Below are 19,587 nucleotides of genomic sequence, written 5' to 3' on the forward strand. Positions count from 1 at the left end.
GACAGTTCTACGGCTTCCTGTAAGTCAATTCTCTCTCTCTTTTTTTTTTTTTGTGACTGAGTCTTGCTCTGTTTCCCAGGCTGGAGTGCAGTGGTGTGATCTCAGCTCACTACAACCTCAGCCTCCTGGCTTCAAGCGATTCCCCTGCCTCAGGCTCCCGAGTAGCTGGGATTACAGGTGCCCACCACCACGCCCAGCTAATTTTTGTATTTTTAGTAAAGATGGGGATTCATTAGGCTGGTCAGGAGTTTGAGACCAACCTGGCCAACATGGCAAAACCCCACCACTACAAAAATACAAAAATTAGCCTGGTATGGTGGTGAGCGCCTATAATCCTGACTACTAGGGAGGCTGAGGCAGGAGGATCACTTGAACCCAGCAGGCAGAGGTTGCAGTGAGCCGAGATTGCATCATTGCACTCCATCCTGGGCGACAGAGCAAGACTCCATCCCAAAAAAAAAAAAAGGGTGGGGAGGCATATTTTATGTTACCTGAATTCCACTTAATTACAAAATATGGCCTGGGGGAATAAAGCAGCTCCCTGAGGGAGAAACCATCCCCTCCACAGCCAGCCTGGCTGGATGGCACCATCTCCTCTCCCGCAGACTCTGAGCTTCTCCCTAAACAAGTAGAGCCCAGTGATCACTCTCCAGCCCATCATAATCCAATGCGTAAGTACATCCTTTATCAGAACAAACATGACAACTACAAATGGGACAAAAAGTATTAATAGATGGGACTCTCTAAAAGAAAAGTACAATCATGTTACATTACGTCTTCTTTCATCCACGCTTAGCATGCATGGAATTTGGGAACGAACTCATTTAAAGCCAGTGTCTGCAAGCAGGTCCGGATAGATTCATCCTCTACAGTGAATAAAAATAAATTAAGGGTCGATAATAGGACCATCCCACTGCATCCTAGTGACTCTTAAATCATATTAAATTATTTAAATACAACTAAATTTTGCAGCTTACAATGAATTGTTTATATCCTTTCTTACTGTCACCCAATTCTTCATGTAACTCCAAGGAAAAGTTATCAAAGGAAACATTACGTTCTCTTCATTCTTCTGTCAAACTCCCACCTCCCAGCTCTTCCCATACCCAATATTTAAAGTGGCATCAGTCGAGAGGCTCAGCTTTGGCCCTGTGAGTTTAATGAGAATCGCACTTCACACACCTCAGCTGTAAGGAATTTACAAAAATGCAGAAAAATATGTCCATGTAGAATCGACCCTGGCTGGAATTACAAGAAAAGAAAAAAGCTTTTATCTCTTTCCAGATTCAGGCAAATAAATAGGATCTTTTGCTCCTGTCTTGGAAGGAATTGGATTCACAAAGCTCCCCGTGAAAGGGCCGCAGGCTGCGTCTGCCCCTCCTTTGAGGACGCTGTCATATTGATCATGGCCAGTCAATCCCATCTCATCTGCAGAGCCCCAGAGGAGACCCCCACAGCTCCTCGGCCCGTGGAATGCAGGTTGCTGGTGGCACCTGAAATCTCACCGCATCCGCTGCATAAAAGATCACTCCATTCACCTTTTCCTTTTCTAGACACAGAACACCTGCCTTCCCCTTGTCAAACACAGAGTAATTCCAATACCTGAAACATAATGCCACAGGCAGCACTAATTTAAAACTCCTGGGCTGGGAATTCCTTGGAAGGCAGGCCACACAGGTGTGGAGACAGCTAATTCCCAACTATGCAAAAAAGTTAAAGGGTGTGCTAGTTATTTTTGCTCATGCCATGAGTCCCTGGAAGCTCACCACCTACCATGCAGGTGGGACCTGCCATAACCACCCCTGCCTGCCCCTCGGCCGCTTGCACACCTCCCACAGTCCCTGAGCCTGGCTCTCACGGCCCCTTCCAAAAGCTAGGTGGCAGCCACATGTAGCCCTGAAGTGTATTTTTGGTTGTTTTTGACTCTATAAAAAGGACATCATGCATATGCAATATTTCGAGACTGGCTTTTTTCACTCCACATTAAGCTGCTGAGACTCCCGCCGGCCCCTTGCCGCTGCCCCTCCTCCCGTAACTGGACACCCCCAGTTCACTCGGCCACACCTGCGGATTGGGGGACGGACTTCCGGGCTTTACTGTTGTGAGCAAAGCTGGCTGTGCGTGTCCCCAGGAGGCGTGTGCTAGTTCCTGTGGCTGCTGCAACAAATCACTACAAACTCCACGGCTTAAGATGACAACATTCACATCTTACAGTTCTGGAGGACAGAATTCCAGCCTGGGTCTCTCTGGACTAGAAGCAGGTGTCAGCAGGACCGCGTGCCTTCTGGAGGCTCCAGGGAAGAGTCTGTTTCCTTCCCTTTTCCAGCTTGCACAGCTACTTCCCGACGCACGGCCGCCTCCCGGACCTTCAGAGCCAGCGGCATTGCACGTCTACAGCCTTCTTCCCAGGCCCAGCTCCTCTGACTCTCCTGCCCCCTTCTCCACTACTGAGGACTCCTGTGGTTCCACTGGGGCCACCGACATAATCCAGGAAAATTTCATGATCGGAAGGTCAACTGACGAGCAGGCGTAGTTCCATCTTTAACCTTTACTTCCCCTTTGCCACACACCTCATAGATTCATGGGTTCCAGGGATTCACACATGGACACCTTTGGGGGCCATCATTCTGCCTGCCGCAGGTGGCACAGCTGGGTCACCCACCCCAGCAGCCACGTATGCGATCCCACGGCCACACCTGCTCCAATGCCTGGACCTGGAGGGCTCCTTCACGTTGCCAGCTGACTGGCAAAGGGGCTCTCTCACCATGGACTTGAGTTACAGTTCCTGGACCCCTAGGCTGGCTGCGTTTCTCTTCACGGGGTGGTTGACCGCATGAGAAGGGTCATGAACCACAAGTTATGATGGCTCCAGCTGTGTGCACATAAGGTCCTAAAACATCAACGCCTCCTTTCTAACAAGGCACATGCTTCCAGCTGCTCGGGCTGCTCGGTCACAGGCAGGGGCCTGGGTGTCGTGTCACACAGGTCTGCGATCCGATCCTGTGAACAGGCACCACTCTGCGCAGCTGCATCGATGCCTGACTGCACGTGTGCGTGCTTCCATTACACTGTCGGCGGTCAGAGGCGTCCTCGTCCTTGCAGCAACCCTGGTGCCAGCGGCAGATGCCAGCACCCAGCACAGTGGGTGGCACAGGGCAGGTGCCTCGCAAATTCAAGGGACTATCATTCAATCTCTTCCCTGCAAAGGGTAAGGCCAGCCCTAATGATGCTCTCTCACTTCCCATTAAAAGTCCCACCACATTAAGCCAGGAGAAGCTTCTGTCTTCTTTCCAGGAGATGAAATGAAATGGCACAGGGTGTAGTAAGGTGGCCTACAGTGAAACCCCTTTTCTTCAAGACTGAAAATCGTACCCAATAAGATAACTGGCCATCCTCTCCTCAGTTTGAATTGCCAAGGTCACTGGTGTCCGATCCTGGCAGCTCCCCATCACTGCCACGCCAGTCGTACCCTACTGGGGCCTCCCCCATCTCGGTTCCTTCTGCAGAGCAGACAGTGAGGGCACTGAGCCTCAGGAAGGCACTGAACTCAAGTTCTATGTTTTCTTTACTCGACTAATAAGAGAGGAATTCAGACATGCTACCTAACATTTCATAATCCCTAACATACTTAACTACACTGTTTCTCATCCAAGAGCAGGCGAGCATGCAAGGTGAAGCCTTTGCTTTCGCGCAGACAGCACTGCTCCATCCAATTAGGCCCCTTCATAAGCCCCAGGGGGATCCCAACGCTCTCCCCACACACAGGCACCAGGTCCAGGTCGTGGGAGCTGGAACAGTGTGAGGGGTGGGGACTCCGGCCCCTGCTCAGCACAGCCTGGCTGTCACACTCAGGTGCAATGCACACCAGTCATGAACCAGAGTCCCCAAAGCTCCCTTGGTGACATCCCATAGCACTGGCCTGGAATTTTCAACCTGGGAGCAGGAAACAGGGCTTTCCTGAGATTCCTTCCCCACTCCCAGCTCTTCTCCACCAAGGTCACCAGGAACGCCAGGCCAGAAGAGGTGGCCGGACCCAACACGCCAGGGACAGCCTTTGACCGCGGTGCTACCACCACACCCAGATAACGGTCCAAGATAGCAGGAGGGAGGCTCACAGGAGGCGGCGGGACTCCAGATTAGGGCTGGGCTCTTTCTCACCCAAGGCACTGCTGACACTTGGCGCCAGGGGGTTCCTTGTCAGGGGCTCTCCTGTGCATTGTGGGATGGCTAGCAGCACCCCCCACACTACATGACATTGCCTGTGTCCCCTGGGGGTCCAATTCAGCCCGGGTGAGACCCACTGGGTGAGTCTCTGCTAAATCAGGATTTAAGGGGAGCTGATGGGACAAGCTATCCTGCAGAGGGGACCCAAGGCGGGGGTGTCTGAGCTGATGGGACCAGCCATCCTGCAGAGGGGCCACAAGGCGGGGTGTCTGAGCTGATGGGACCAGCCATCCTGCAGAGGGGACACAAGGTGGGGGTGTCTGAGCTGATGGGACCAGCCATCCTGCAGAGGGGCCACAAGGCGGGGTGTCTGAGCTGATGGGACCAGCCATCCTGCAGAGGGGCCACAAGGCGGGGTGTCTGAGCTGATGGGACCAGCCATCCTGCAGAGGGGACACAAGGTGGGGGTGTCTGAGCTGATGGGACCAGCCATCCTGCAGAGGGGCCATAAGGCGGGGTGTCTGAGCTGATGGGACCAGCCATCCTGCAGAGGGGACACAAGGCGGGGTGTCTGAGCTGATGGGACGGGCCATCCTGCAGAGGGGACACAAGGTGGGGGTGTCTGAGCTGATGGGACCAGCCATCCTGCAGAGGGGCCATAAGGCGGGGTGTCTGAGCTGATGGGACCAGCCATCCTGCAGAGGGGCCACAAGGCGGGGTGTCTGAGCTGATGGGACCAGCCATCCTGCAGAGGGGACACAAGGCGGGGGTGTCTGAGCTGATGGGACCAGCCATCCTGCAGAGGGGCCACAAGGCGGGGTGTCTGAGCTGATGGGACCAGCCATCCTGCAGAGGGGCCACAAGGCGGGGTGTCTGAGCTGATGGGACCAGCCATCCTGCAGAGGGGACCCAAGGCGGGGTGTCTGGGAAGCCGCAAGGAGCCCCGGGTGGCTGAAATGGAGGGCGGACAGCTGGGGGAGGGTACCTGACCCTGAAGGGGCTTAACTCCGACTGACACGGAGTCACTGGGGGGTCCTGAGCAGCGAGTCATGACCCGAATTGAATTGTGTGCTTCAACGATCACTCTGGCTGCTGTGCCGAGAACAGCCGGGTGGGGCAGGACAGGAGCCAGGGCAGAAGGAAGGACTCCGGCTCAGGGGCGACTGCCACGGCCGGGGATCAGGGAGGCATCAGAAGGGGTCACCTCCTGCAAACATTTTTCTATTATTTGTTATGGTAAATTGCAGTGATGTAAACATAACACAAAATCGACCTTTTAACCTTTTATGAGTGTACAACTCAGCGGCATTAAATGTTATTGCTGGGCTGGGCACAGTGGCTCACGCCTATAATCCTAGCACTTTGGGAGGCCAAGGTGGGTGGATCACCTGAGGTCAGGTCAGGAGTTCAAGACCAGCCTGGCCAACATGGTGAAACCCCATCTCTACTAAAAATACAAAAAATTAGCCTTACGTGGCGGCACGTGCCTGTAATCTCAGCTACTCAGGAGGCTGAGGCAGGAGAATCGCTTGAACCCAGGAGGTGGAGCTTGCAGTGAGCTGAGAGTGCACCACTGCACTCCAGCCTGGGGGCCAGACTCGGTCTCAAAAAAAAAAAAAAAAAAAAAATTTATTCACATTGCTGTGCAACCATCACCACCATCCCTTCTCCACAACTTTCTCACCTTCCCAAACTCTGTCCCCATTAAACACTCACGCCCGCTCCCCTCCCCTGGCCCCCACCAGACTACTTTCCATATCTATGAACATCATGCCTCTAGGGACCTCACGTCGGTGGAATCAGACAATATTAGTCCTTTTGTGATTTAGTCTTTTTCAGCAGAGTGTCCTCACGGGTCATCCATGCCGTAGTATGTGTCGGAATGTCCTTCCTTTTTAAGGCTGAATAATATTCCACCGCATGAACACACCACATCTTGTTTATTTATTCACCCACTGATGGACATGTGGCTATTCGGAATGACATTGCTGCAAACACACATGTGCTCCTGGAGACACTTTGGAGGCCACGCCTACAGGATGTGCGGAAGGATGTGCAGTGAGAAACTAGGAGGAGAGCTGAGGCGGGTTTCCAGGTGTGAGGCCCAGGCACCCATAGAAACAGAGATGGAGGAGAATGGAGGGGGCGGGGTGGGGGCAGGTGAGATGGGAGGGGGGGTCCTGGCAGACGTCCACATGGAGACAATAAGGAGGCAGCTGTCCCAACAAGTGCAGCGTCAGGGCAGAGGTCCCGGCTGGAGATACAAGTGTGAGGCACCAAGGGCAAGGGACCTAGAGCTGGTGCCAGTGGATGGCCTGGCTCCACAGGAGGCCGCATGGGTGGGGAAGGCCAGTGCCCGTGCCAGGGTGCAGGGCACCGACACGGGAGGCCATTGGTGACCCGATGGGTGGTCATGGTGGGCTGCTTGGGGGAGCGACCAGAACACAAAGCAGTGGGCTTGCATGAGGGCACCCAGACAGCTTCTTCAAGGACTTCTGCTGAAAAGAGGGCCAGGAGCTACGGAGTGGCAGCTCGAGAGATGGCAGCCAAGCGGGGCTGCTACATGGTTGCTGCTTTAGAGACAGGAGAGGTCATGGCAGGTTTTCACCTATATGGGAGTCACAGACTGGGAGAGACCAGTACAAGAGAGGAGCACTGCAGGAAGCTCTTGAGAAGGAAAATAGGTGAGATCCAGCACAAGGTGTGGCGAGATCCAGGGCACAAGGTGGAGACCGAGATCCAGGGCACAAGAGTGGGGCAAGATCCAGCACACAAGGCGGGGGCGAGATCGAGGGTACGAGGAGGAGCGAGATCCAGGGCACAATGGGGGGTCGAGATCCAGGGCACAAGCGGGGGCAAGATCGAGGGCACAAGGGGGGTATGAGATCCAGTGCACAAGGTCAGTGGCAGGGGCAAGATCCAGGGCACAAGTGTGGAGCTGAGATCCAGGGCACAAGCGGGGGCAAGATCGAGGGCACAAGGGGGGTATGAGATCCAGTGCACAAGGTCAGTGGCAGGGGCAAGATCCAGGGCACAAGTGTGGAGCTGAGATCCAGGGCACAAGCGGGGGCAAGATCGAGGGCACAAGGGGGGTGTGAGATCCAGTGCACAAGGTCAGTGGCGAGATTGAGGGCACAAGGAGGGGCGAGATCTAGGGCACAAGGTGGGGTGAGATCCAGGGCACAAGCGTGGAGGTGAGATCCAGGGCACAAGCGTGAAGGTGAGATCCAGGGCACAAGCTGGGGCAAGATGGAGGGCACAAGCTGGGTGGTGAGATCCAGGGCACAAGGTGGGGTGAGATCGAGGGCACAAGGGTGGAGGTGAGATCCAGTGCACAGAGTGGGGTGATAACCAGTGCACAATGTGGGGGGTTGAGATCCAGCCCTGCATTGGGGGGTGCAGCAGGGGTGTGGCTAACTACAAAGCTGCACCAACAGCCTGTCCGTCTGTCCAGTCCTGTGTGTTCACGCCTCTCCTCCTGTCCAAAGGTGAAATCTCTGCCCCTCTTTGCGGAGCTGGGCTGGCCCGTGACTTGCCTAGACTGTGAGAATGCCAGCATTCCCCTACCACGCCCCTGACCGTGCTGCCCCCAACCATGTCCCCAAGCCAGCTATACCCTCGCAAGAAAGCACCCAGGAAGGCCGGGGCCTCTGACATCTGGTTTTCTGCCAAGTCCCAAGCTCAAAGCCTGGCACATCATACATACCCAGTTCATGTTTGTTGAATGAATACGTGACTGTTTTAACTCCGTGCCCGTTTTGAGAGGGTCAGGGAGGGGATCACTGCCTCCTTCCGTTGCACCAGGTGGCCTACAGAGAAGCCGCCTGCCTCCCACCCAGCAAGTGGCGATACTCGGATCCCAAGTGCAGAGCAGAGCGGAAGAAACAGTGCAGGCCCCTGACTTGGAGCAGAGCTCGGAGCAGGGCCCGGGACACCATCTGGACCCAAACGCTGCCGGACGTGAGCCGTACCAGTCACGTGGGCCACATGGGGTTGCATGCCCTGTCACCCACGTCAAAGCTTCCTCAGCACAAGGTGGAGGAACAGGGCAGGGCGCCCACCGTGGCCACTAAGAGGCACCACCACGTCCCTCCTCCTCAGACAGGGGAGCCCGAGGAAGTGCCGGCACCACGCAGCACGCACAGGGCGGGGACAGCCCCACGGCCGCTTCAGATGCTGCCTCTCCACATGGAGGGTCCTTCCCCGGAGCTCCTCAGGGCGGGCACAGAACCCTGACCCTCCACAGAGCTCCAGTGGCATCGAGAGCCTGCAATCTGCCTCGGGGAGCCACAGGTCAGGAGGAACACATTTTTTTACTTGACCGCACTTAATTCATCTACATGAAAGGTCTTGGGGTTACCCACTTTTATACATAGCTGGTCTGGTCCGTCGCAGAATGTGTGGAAGTACTAAGTGCCATCAATGACGCCCATCAAGTTACTGTGTCATGACACGCACACACATTTCATCAAGTGACGCCCTTAAGTTAACTCTGTGACAGCACACGCACAACACTGACCTCCTCACACATTACCAGTCTCGGCCCCTAAAATACAGGCATCTGTCCCACCGCAATTCGACAGTAGCCCAGGTCCCGAGCCACCCCAGGAGTGAGTGTCATGAGGCCCCCAGACATCCCGGTTTGCCTGGGTATATTAGTCAGGGCTCTCTAGAGGGAGAACTAATAGGATACATATATATAAAGGGGAGTTCATTAAGTATTAACTCACACAATCACAAGGTCCCACAATAAGCTGTCTGCAAGCTGAGAAGCAAGGAGAGCCGAGTCCCAAACAGAAGAACCTGGAGGCCGATGTTCCAGGGCAGGAAGCATCCAGCACAGGAGAAAGCTGTAGGCTGGGAGGCTAGGCCGGTCTCGCCCTTTCACGTTCTTCTGCCTGCTTTACATTCCAGCCGTGCTGGCAGCTGATTAGTTTATGCCCACCAGATTAAGGGTGGGCCTGCCTTTCCCAGCCCACTAACTCAAATGTTAACATCCTTTGGCAGCACGCACACAGACACACCCAGGATCAATACTTTGTATCCTCCAATCCAATCAGGTTGGCAGTATTAACCATCACACAGGGTGAAAAATTCTAGACCAACAGGATTCAGCTATTGACTGTGGTTGACTTATACTCTCTTTGTCCACAAGGACTGGAGGTGGCAGACGTCACACACACCCTGAGAATGTCCCCAGGTGAGCACAGTGGGGGATGGAAACTGGTACCTAGGGAGGAAGGCTGGGCAGGTGGGCCGTCACGAGCCTCTCCCCAGTTCCCAGGGGAAACATTTGCTCCATGGAACTAAGGGGGGCCCCGAAGGGGATGGCCAGTGGAGGCACTGACACTGCAGGGCCCTGCCACCTTGCAGTGGTCACAGCTCACACGCAACGACACATGGCCCAAGGGGGAGGTGCCGATTCATCCTGTGCAGAGCCACCCCAGGGGTGCCCCAGTTACAGGGGCAGGGAAGCACTGCCACCTCCATCTCACACAGGCGGCTGGGGCTAGGGCAGGAGTCCCGGTGCCCACATCCCACCCTCACAGCCTGTGCAGTAGGTGGCCCAGGGCCCGGGTCGCAGGGACACACCCTCCCGGCCGGGCAGCACTCAGAAGCTGTCCTAACCACAGGGTGCTTTCACTCTGACACCAGACGGTGCTACCTGCCCCACCCCAGGCCCTCCCCCTCCTCCTTCTGGCTCTGTGAGTTCTGAGCCAAGGAAGAGAGTGTCTACAGAGAGGTTTTTCAGAGGATAAAACTGCCTTTTCCATGGGCCTGCCTTTTTGGTCAGAGTTGCCAGGAGCCAAAAGGAGTGCCTCCTTGCGGTCCCCTCGCCGCCCCGCACCGCAGTCCACCCCAAGAACCTCTATGACCCCCGGGGCTCAGGTGCAGAGCAGAGGCCACAGTTCCACAGGAGCCTCTTCATCCATCAGCAGCAAAACCCTCGGGGGTCCCAGTGGTAGCGGGGGTCCCGGCCCAAGACCTGGGCTGCGTCCTCTCCTCGAGCCTCTCATGAGAAAGACCTTTCAAACAAAACCAGTTCACTTGGCCCTCCCAGCGCTCCCTGAAGCCCCGTGTGCGTGGTGGTGGCCAGCCTGAGGGATTTGGGTCGGGCAGCTCACGACGACCCTGAGGCTTTGTCATGCTGCAGTCTCTGCTGTCAAGAGACACAGAGGAAGAAATCCCGGTCCTGCCGGCTGTGGAGGGACAGTGGTAGCAGCTTTTAAAATCCTCTCCCTGGCGCTGGAGGAGGGACTTGCTCAGCTGGGTCCCCAGTGAGCATGGAGCTCTGCTGCCACCGCTCCCCTCATGGCACCAGGCACCGCACAGACAGCGCTGCAGCTGGGAGCTCGTTTCAACCTGGAGACAGCCCTGCTGGGTGGGCGGGGCCCCTCCTCCCCAACTCCTCCCAAGGTCAGCTGCTCCAGGGCTTGGATCAGTAAGTCGGCCAGGCAAGCCGGCACCGCCCCCGCCATCAGACACCATCTCCCGCCCCGCCCGCTGCAGGAGCAGAAGGTGCTGGAAGGCCATGTCCTGCAGCCTCTGCTTGGCTATGGTCCCCAGAAGTCCTGATGGGTCAGCAAGAGCTGTATTAAGCAGAGCAGGCAACAGCGGCAAAAACTAGCAGAACATCCTCAAGCCAGGACTGCATGTGAGGAAGACAGCGCCAGCATCACTGTTTCATAGTCGGATCCACAAAGCCCGGGGAAGTGGCCGGCAGAAGACAACACGGAAGCCACACAGCAGAGAGCGGGCAGGGAACGCGGTAGACAGTCGCACAACAACACTCACACAGATGCCAAGAAAAAGGCTTAGAAGGGAATATTAAAAACCGTAGCAGCTGTACCAGACTAATAAGCTTAGGTGCGTTTGTGCTCTATTTACCCACCCACATCTAATGATACACCAGTGCTGGAATTTAAGCTCACTCTGCTCTCAGTCAGCCTCTCACTGCATGAAAACCAGGGCAGCACTGACCCATCCCTGCAGGGCCAAGCCTGCCCCCTCCACCAAGGCCCCTCCTCCTAGCTCAGGACCCGGTCAGCTAACACCAGCATGGTCTTCACAGGACGTGCCTACCACCCATCCAGCACCCTCAGAAACAGGATCCCCATTTGGGAGTCTCCATGAGGCTGGCGTGCCATTATCCGTGTTTGAGGAAAGTCAAAGTGCAATGCTGACCTCTCTGACAATGCAGGGCACACAGAACAATACAGGTCCTTTCCCCGTGGCCGCCTGATGACCCCTCTGGGCTGTGGCCCAAGCCTGTGTGGCCCCAGCTGCCTTCTCCTCAGCTACCAGGGCTGCCCTGAGCCCCAGCTCCTCACAGATGCCCCCACACTTCCAGGGCTACAGCCCAGGAGGGGAAAAAGCCTGTACCCCAGCGTCGGGTCTGCAGAGGGATCTGAGATGGGCAAAGGACTAGTGGGACCTTGTCACTGCCACTCAAGTGGGGGCGTGGGAAGCAGTGCGTGGAACCTTCCATTGAGAGAAAGATGCAGTCACACACACGAGTGTCAACACGCAATATGAGCCTTCCAGAATTCTCGGAGCACGGCCCTGGCCATCCCTGGATCGTGGCGGGAGGACATAGCGCACTTCTGAAGACCTCCCCAGGCCTGTGGTTTCGAGGGGTTTGACTTGATTTACAAGCACAGGAGAAGTGGGAGTCCTATCAGGGCACTCCGCTCACCAGGGCTGGGGCAGCTCAAAGCCATAGCACACAGCAGGGCCATAGATGCCCTCTCAGGCCCCTCTCAGCACTCACCGACCCCGCCTCCGATGACCCACTCTCTGTCAAGAACCACAGTGGAAGCCAGCTGCAGTGGCTCACGCCTGTAATCCCAGCACTTTGGGACGCCAAGGCAGGTGAATCACCTGAGGTCAGGAATTCGACACCAGCCTGGCCAACATGGTGAAACCCCGTCTCTACTAAAAATACAAAAAAAAATTAGCTGGGTGTGGTGGTGCACATCTGTGGTCCCAGCTACTCAGGAGGCTAAGGCAGGAGAATAGCTTGAAACCGAGAGGCAGAGGTTGCAGCGAGCAGATATTGCGCCATTGCACTCCAGCCTGGGTGACAAGAGCGAAACTCCATTTCGGAAAAAAAAAAAAAAAAAAAAGAATCACAATGGGGAAAGCAGTTGGCAGTTCCTCAAAGCTGAAGATGGGCCGGGCATGGTGGCTCACACCTGTAATCCCAGCACATTGGGAGGCTGAGACGGGCGGATCACGAGGTCAGGAGATCGAGACCATCCTGGCTAACACGGTGAAACCCTGTCTCTAATAAAAATACAAAAAAAATTATCCAGGCATGGTGGTGGGTGCCTGTAGTCCCAGCTACTCAGGAGGCTGAGGCAGGAGAATGGCATGAACCCGGGAGGCGGAGCCTGCAGTGAGCCAAGATCGCGCCACTGCAGGACGGAGCGAGACTCCGCCTCAAAAAAAAAAAAAAAAAAACGCTGAAGATGGAGCTACACAGTAATTCCACCCAAGCACCTCCCCAAGAGAATCAAATTACAAAGACTCGAACACACACGCTCATGCCAGTGTCATTCATGACAGCCAAAAATGGAGACTACCCAAATGTCCATCAGCAGGTGAATGGAAAACAAAAAGTGGTCTGTCCACTAATGGAATATTATTCAGCCATAAAAATGAAATGCTAACACATGCTACAACATGGATGAAACTGGAAGAAGCCAGACACAAAAGGCCCCACAGCATATGACTCCTTTTATACGAAACGTCCAGAACAGGCAAATCCGCAGAGATGGAAAGCCAACTGGAGGTTCCAGGGGCCAGAGGCAGGGTGAGTGAAGAGTGACTACATAATAGAAACAGGGTGTTTATATGGGATGATGGAAAAGCTTTGAAATCAGAGAGAGCCAATGGCTGCACCACATTGCGAATACAGGAAATATCACTGATGGTTTGCTTTCAATGGTTACCTATATATTCACTGCATTTCACCCTCTCAGTCTCGCTCTTTTTTTTTTTTTTTTTTTTGAGAGAGGGTCTTGCTCTGTCACCCTTGCCCAGGCTGGAGTGCAGTGGCACAGTCGTAGTTCACTGCAGCTTCAAACTCCTGGGCTCAAGCAATCCGTCCCCCTTGGCCACCCAAAGTAGCTGGGATTATAGGCGTAGGCCACCATGCCCAGCCACACTTCAATCTCTTAAAAGATTAAAATATATATATAACAACAAAAATGAACCATAACTAACCTCATCCACAAGCCGAATTTGTCCCCAAAGGCATATCCTTGGATAGTTCCAAAGTGAGCCCCAGATACCCCCAGAGAGTGGCCCGGACAAAGCGGTGCTGGGCCTGGGGCCTTCAGGAGAGAAGCCATGTGTCTTCCCCATACTCCAAGCGGCACCGCGAAGGGAAGATGGGGTGCACCGCCACCTGCTTTTCCATTCTCTCCCCACAGTGAGCTTTGAGGCAGGCCTTACCACCCACAGTCCTTGGCCTTTTCAGAAGTGTCTGGAGCACACCAATTGGACCAAATTTGAGAAGACCAATGGGACTTCCTTGGATTTCAGACGCTGTGGGAGGCTGCAGATCGACTGTGCTGATGGTCGACTGATGGGTGCGCTGAGCAGACTTACAGTTTCCCATCATTCCCTGCAGTGCCCCGCTCCCACTGCAGGCAGCCACATGGCCGAGCTGTAACCTTGAGCAGGCCCAGGCTCTGAGATCTGCAGGCCAGGAAGCCTTCCCTAGGTCAGAGGGAAGGGGCCGGGGCACAGGAGAGTGGCCCCCGTGCCCATTGTCTCTGAGACCTCACGTCCCTTGGAGTGGTCAGGAAGGAGCCAGGTGAGGCCGACAGCCAGCACTCCTGTCACTGTCCCTCGGGTTCTCTTGGTTCTTTCAACAGTTTCAAAATGCCCACTGGCTGGGCGCAGTGGCTCACGCCTATAATCCCAGCACTTTGGGAGGCCAAGGCAGGGGGATCATCTGAGGTCAGGAGTTCGAGACCACCCTGGCCAACATGGTGAAACCCCCATCTCTACTAAAAATATAAAAATTAGCTGGGCATGGTGGCAGGCGCCTGTAATCCCAGCTACTCGGGAGGCTGAGGCAGGAGGATCACTTGAATTTGGGAGGCGGAGGTTGCAGTGAGCCAAGATTGCGCTGCTATACTCCAGCCTGGGCCACAGAATGGATTCTGTCTCAAAAAAAAAAAAAAAAAAGAAAGAAAGAAAGGAAAGAAAATTAGCCGGGCATGGTGGCACATGCCTGTAATCCCAGCACTTTGGGAGGCCGAGGCAGGTGAATCACTTGAGGTCAGGAATTCAAGACCAGCCTGGCCAACATGATGAAACCCCATCTCTGTCAAAAATACAAAAATTAGCTGGGTGTGGTGGTGCACACCTGTAATCCCAGCTACTCGAGAGGCTGAGGCAGGAGAATCACTTGAACCCAGGAGGCAGAGGTAGCAGTGAGCCAAGATCGTGCCACTATACTCCAGCCTGGGCCACAGAACAAGACTCTGTCTCAAAAAAAAACAAAACAAAACACTGAGAAGGGGCTGCCCGAGAGCTCCTGTGACTGAGACCAGGATTAAAGAGGTGGGGCAGCCAGGCCTGGGAGCCGATGGTGTGCAGCAGGAAGCCATCCCCTCCCTGTGGGGAAACATGCTGTCACTCTGCTTTGAGCGCCGTGCTTACCTGATACAGGGAGAAAGAACCTCACCTCCTTGCTTTTGGTAAACGCCTGGTTCACCTTTTCTGCCCCTTTCTTTTCAGCCTTTCTGCGGAAGCTGTCTCGTGGACATCTCTCGTCAACAGCACAAGGTTGGATTGTTCAACGCACAGGTGCACTCTCAGTCTCTGTCTGGGAGGTGGATTTGCTCCACTCCCTGTGATGCCTGACTTACGTGCAATTATTTCTACAGCTTTAGTTTTTGCTTTTTGTTTGTTGTGCTTTTGCTTTGCTGCCCTCTTCTCATCCTTTCCTGCTTTGATTGGATTATTTCCTTTATTCTCTTTCTCCCTCCCCTGGTTTAGGAGTTATCCCTTCTTCTGGGACTGTTATCCTAGTGCCTACCCTGTGGTAATTCACACACTTAGCTCATGGTCTCAAATCCAGCCTTATTGCAAACCATCAAAGACCTCAGTGCCAGCTCTGATTGCTGTCCAGGCATTGCTGTCCAGAATTTCCACTCCCCCTTGCCAGGAGCACGGATGCTCACGCTCCCCAAGGTGACTGCTGCTCCCATCTACCCACTCCCTCCCCGACTCCTGGGCCCCACCATTGCACCTTGCCTCCCACTCCTTCCTTCTGACTTTGATTTTCCTCTTGGAGTACATTTTCCAGTACTTCTTCAGCAATGATTTGGGGGCGGTTACTTTTTTGTCTTCGTCTAAAACTGTCTTCCATTTTGCTCTCCTCCACGAACGACAGCTTAGCTAAGCCCAGAACTCTACTCTGACTTTGCTCCCTGTGGCCCTAGAAAGATTTCGCTCCACAGTCCTCCAGGCCTCCAGTATTCAGCCAGTCCAGCAGAGGCCCCTGTGAGGTTGCAGCCTGTCCCCTTAGGCCCCTCAGATGCTGCGTTCTGAGCATCTGAGGGGCCTGCTGTGCCACTGATTCCCATCTGGGGTGTGGGCTTATGAACCTGATGATTCAACTCGGGAAGATTCTCAGCCGTGAGCAGAAAACAGCCTCCTCTCTCCCCCTGTTTTCGCTCCTGAAGTCCCAGGAGTTACATCTGGAACCTTCTCATCCCTCTGTGCCTCAGAAGCTCCCACAATTGCACAGGCTGGAGTGTAGTGGCACGATCTCGGCTCACTGCAACCTCTGCCTCCCAGATTCAAGTGATTCTCCTGCCTCAGCCTCCCGAGTAGCTGGGATTACAGACGCACCACCACGCCCAGCTAATTTTGTATTTTTAGTAGAAACAGGGTTTCACCATGTTGGCCAGGCTGGTCTTGACCTCCTGACCTCGTGATCCACCTGCCTCGGCTTCGCAAAGTGCTGGGATTACAGGCGTGAGCCACTGTGCCTGGCCTGCCTTGTGGTTTCTATCCTCAGTCTCTTGGCTTGGTTTGACCTTACGCATGCCAGGGAGTGTGCTCACGGAGAACCCCTTTCTCCTCTGTCTTGTAACTTTCTACTATGAACTCCACTTCAGAGGTGTGGCAGGAGGGCTCCTCCAGAACACCATGTACCTCACTCGGCCAGGCTGCCCAGGTGACCCTGTGCTGAAGTGGCCTATGGGGCTTTCCTGGCCCCCTGGCCTCCAGGCCTCAAGGCCACAGATTCCTGTCTGACCCTTGCTCCAACCTGCCCTCACTGGACAGCAATGCTTCACCCAGTCCTGGACCAACACATCTCCCCTAACCCCACCATGCCCTGGGCCTCCCTGTGAGTGCTCCCAAGAACATCCTACCAAGCCAGCATTTCCCTGCATCCCCACACCTGCCCTTTGAGATGTGACTCTGCTACTCCCCGCACCGAGAAGTGGAGGTGACAGCCCCCCCCATTTAATGGGGGCTGGCCCTATGGACACTGTGGAGGTGATGCCATGTGACTTCCAGGCTGGGCCTCAGGATCACCTTGCCACTCTGCTCCACTGCCCTGAGACTCAGCATCGGGGAGAAAGCCTGGAGGGGGCCTGCCTGACAGCTGCACCAGCCGGGGTGGACCAAAGGCCGCAGATGGTTCAGCTGGCTGACCCTTCCCAACTGAAGCTCCGCCCAGTTGGGCCCCGCCCAGGTAAGCCCCATCTAGATGAAGCCCCACCCAGGTAAGCCCACCTAGATGATGGCGCCCCATCCAGATAGAGTCCCGCCCAGATGAGTACCACCCAGGTAAGCCTGCCTAGATGATGAAGCCCCGCCCAGATGCCACCCCGCCCAGATGCAGCCCTATCCAGATGGCCCCACACTGTGAGTCCTGCCCATATAAGCCCCACCTAGATGAAGCCACGCCCAGGTGAGCCCCGCCCCACGGGCTGATCCACCCAATCCTGACGTGGGGCAGCAGTGATGGTTTGAAGCTCTCAGTTCCCGGCGGTTTCTAAGTGGACCTTCCCATGCACTCAGCTTTAGGTTTTAGTTTCCTCTTATTTCTGGCACTAGGGGTTACACCTTCTCTCTTGCCAGCTCAGTACTTTTAAAAATGTTTTTGTGATTTTATCCAACATGCCTGGGCATCTCGCAGTGGGGAGGTCTGCCTTTACGCGGTCTGTGACACAGCCCTGAACGCCCCTGGCCCCCCACCCTCACATTCCCCGTGGAGTTGCATGGCCATCAAACACACTGTCCAAACCCCTACTTCTGCACCCCCATCTCCACCCTCCACCTCGCAGCTCCTCTCCTGAGCTCCCCATCCCCAAACAGCACCTCTCCCCCAGCCAGGTCCCACCCCCACCAGGCCCAGATCCATCTACTTTCTCCATCCAGAGTCGCCTGCTGCCATCCTCTCGCTGGAATCCCCGCCACCCACCAGTCCCAGCTTCCAATCTCGTCTCTCCCACAGCAGGCCTGGAAGGACCCCGCAAACAGCAGTGCTGACCCCATCATGCCCCCACCTTCCTTGCCTGTGACCCATCCCCAGGCGACCTCCCAACCCCATCTGCAGCGACCCCACCTTGTCCCCTGTGCTCCAAGTGCACCCAGCCTTTCAGGCTCCGCGACCCACACCCCCTTGCCACTCACATCTCAGCAGCCCCCTCGCCCCCACTCCGCTGGCTGCTCGCTGTCCCTCCGATCCCTGGCTCAGGCAAGGCCCACATGGCCTGACAGCCTTGGAGATTCCCACTGAGCAGCCCATGCCGGCGCTGTGAGAAGGCTGAGTCCAGTACACCCACGGTGGGGTGGGGGGGCTGACCCCTGCGGGCAGCTCTGTGGGAGGAGGTCGGTTTGAGAAATTTGTCAGAACTACCCAACCACGATCAATCCCAGACACAGAACTCCTTCACGCTGTCTTCTGGAAGCCCCAGGACAAGGGCCCTGCCAGCAGCACAGGGTGGGAGGAGAGGCTGGGCTGGGACTTGAGGATCCATCTTCAGAGACCAGGAAGATGCCCCCGCCAGGTGGCCACAGTCAGCGGGCCAGGCTGGCAGGGTGCTTTCCAAAGCCCCCAAGTCAGCTGCCTACGCAGAAAGCCAAACTCAGGAACCATGGCTCTGGGCCTATTTTCCTATTTTTTTTTATTCAGGGGCAAAACACCTTTTCCCTTGATTATCTGTTAACCTCAAAAAGTGGTACAATTCCTTTTTTTAAATTGAGGTGAAATCCACACAACATACAATCAACCATCTTAGAGGGTACAATACAATGGCATTTACTGCGTTCACAATGCTGCCCAACCACCACCTCTTGCTGCGTCAAAACCTTTTCATCACCCCAAAAGGAAACCCCATGCCCTTTAAATCATCACTCCCCATTTCCACTTCCACTCTCCAACCCCTGGCAACCGCCGATCTGCTTTCTGTCTCAATGGATTTGCCTCTTCTGGACATTTCATAGAAATGGAATCATACAAGACGCAGCCCTTTGTGACTGGCTTCTTTTGATTATCATCCTGTATTCCAGGCTCATGGCGATGGCTTGTATCAGAACATCCTCCCTTTCTTTTTTTTTTTTTTTTTTCATTTTTTTAACTTTATTTATTTATTTATTTTTATTTTTTTGAGATAGAGTCTCGCTCTGTTGCCCAGGCTGGAGTGCAGTGGCACCATCTCGGCTCACTGCAAGCTCCGCCTCCCAGGTTCACGCCATTCTCCTGCCTCAGCCTCCTGAGTAGCTGGGACTACAGGCGCCCGCCACCACACCCGGCTAATTTTCTGTATTTTTAGTAGAGACGGGGTTTCACCGTGTTAGCCAGGATGGTCTCAATCTCCTGACCTCGTGATCCGCCTGCCTCGACCTCCCAAAGTGCTGGGATTACAGGTGTGAGCCACCACGCCCTTTCTAATGCTAATGTCATGCCATGGTGTGGAGGGACCACATGTATCTGTTCTTCCTTCCATGGACGTTTGGGTTGTTTCCCCCTTTTGGCTGTTATGTATAAAGCTGCTATGAACATGAGTGTACAATTCTTAAATGTATCTGACATTTAAGTAGTTGATTCTGCTTTTAGGTGTTTTTTGTAATCATGATATCCCTAAAAATAATTGGAAACATTCTCAAAAACTGAAATCCAAAGAAAAAAACATTGCCCTAAGGACACTATCCTAAATTGGGTGTGCTAGCCCAGTCTCCCCAGGAAGCCGGTGTAAAATACCACCTTTCTGGTGGGGGAGAGCCAAGCGCAGCACAGCTGGAGCAAAACCCACCCGTGGCAGAGACTTAGAGAGCCAGCCATGCAGTTTGGACCCATGTTCCTTGTCCATGGAGGGGCCCCCCCACTTGATGTGTCCCCTACACCCCCTGCCTCCCTCCAGCAGGAAAACAATGAGAAATGGA

General features: G+C 54.8%; 1 protein-coding gene across 4 annotated transcripts in view, besides 8 other annotated features; it reads right to left on the reverse strand.

Annotated features, from left to right (window-relative positions):
• ZFYVE28 (zinc finger FYVE-type containing 28) overlaps positions 1–19,587 on the reverse strand; it is a 149,049-nt gene that overhangs the window by 122,105 nt on the left and 7,357 nt on the right. The gene's annotated exons all lie outside the window — the stretch shown is intronic.
• Positions 1,900–1,989: an enhancer, noted in NCBI's record as "active region_21169". NCBI's record gives its function as "activates an Ori minimal core promoter by ATAC-STARR-seq in GM12878 lymphoblastoid cells {active_cell/tissue: GM12878}" and the evidence as "EXISTENCE:reporter gene assay evidence [ECO:0000049][PMID:35858748]".
• Positions 1,900–2,075: a biological region, named in NCBI's record as "ReSE screen-validated silencer GRCh37_chr4:2395333-2395503".
• Positions 1,905–2,075: a silencer, noted in NCBI's record as "fragment chr4:2395333-2395503 (GRCh37/hg19 assembly coordinates)". NCBI's record gives its function as "represses an EF-1alpha promoter that drives an FKBP-Casp9 reporter gene in an ReSE screen in K562 erythroleukemia cells {active_cell/tissue: K562}" and the evidence as "EXISTENCE:reporter gene assay evidence [ECO:0000049][PMID:32094911]".
• Positions 2,160–2,209: an enhancer, noted in NCBI's record as "active region_21170". NCBI's record gives its function as "activates an Ori minimal core promoter by ATAC-STARR-seq in GM12878 lymphoblastoid cells {active_cell/tissue: GM12878}" and the evidence as "EXISTENCE:reporter gene assay evidence [ECO:0000049][PMID:35858748]".
• Positions 9,665–9,724: an enhancer, noted in NCBI's record as "active region_21171". NCBI's record gives its function as "activates an Ori minimal core promoter by ATAC-STARR-seq in GM12878 lymphoblastoid cells {active_cell/tissue: GM12878}" and the evidence as "EXISTENCE:reporter gene assay evidence [ECO:0000049][PMID:35858748]".
• Positions 9,845–10,516: an enhancer, noted in NCBI's record as "H3K27ac-H3K4me1 hESC enhancer chr4:2403273-2403944 (GRCh37/hg19 assembly coordinates)". NCBI's record gives its function as "activates a minimal SCP1, AML or CMV promoter by ChIP-STARR-seq in naive and primed H9 embryonic stem cells {active_cell/tissue: H9 hESC(naive and primed)}" and the evidence as "EXISTENCE:reporter gene assay evidence [ECO:0000049][PMID:30033119]".
• Positions 16,385–16,890: an enhancer, noted in NCBI's record as "H3K4me1 hESC enhancer chr4:2409813-2410318 (GRCh37/hg19 assembly coordinates)". NCBI's record gives its function as "activates a minimal SCP1, AML or CMV promoter by ChIP-STARR-seq in primed H9 embryonic stem cells {active_cell/tissue: H9 hESC(primed)}" and the evidence as "EXISTENCE:reporter gene assay evidence [ECO:0000049][PMID:30033119]".
• Positions 16,969–17,028: an enhancer, noted in NCBI's record as "active region_21172". NCBI's record gives its function as "activates an Ori minimal core promoter by ATAC-STARR-seq in GM12878 lymphoblastoid cells {active_cell/tissue: GM12878}" and the evidence as "EXISTENCE:reporter gene assay evidence [ECO:0000049][PMID:35858748]".

This window comes from Homo sapiens, chromosome 4 (assembly GCF_000001405.40).
Source record: "Homo sapiens chromosome 4, GRCh38.p14 Primary Assembly".
In the NCBI taxonomy this organism is placed as follows: domain Eukaryota; kingdom Metazoa; phylum Chordata; class Mammalia; order Primates; family Hominidae; genus Homo; species Homo sapiens.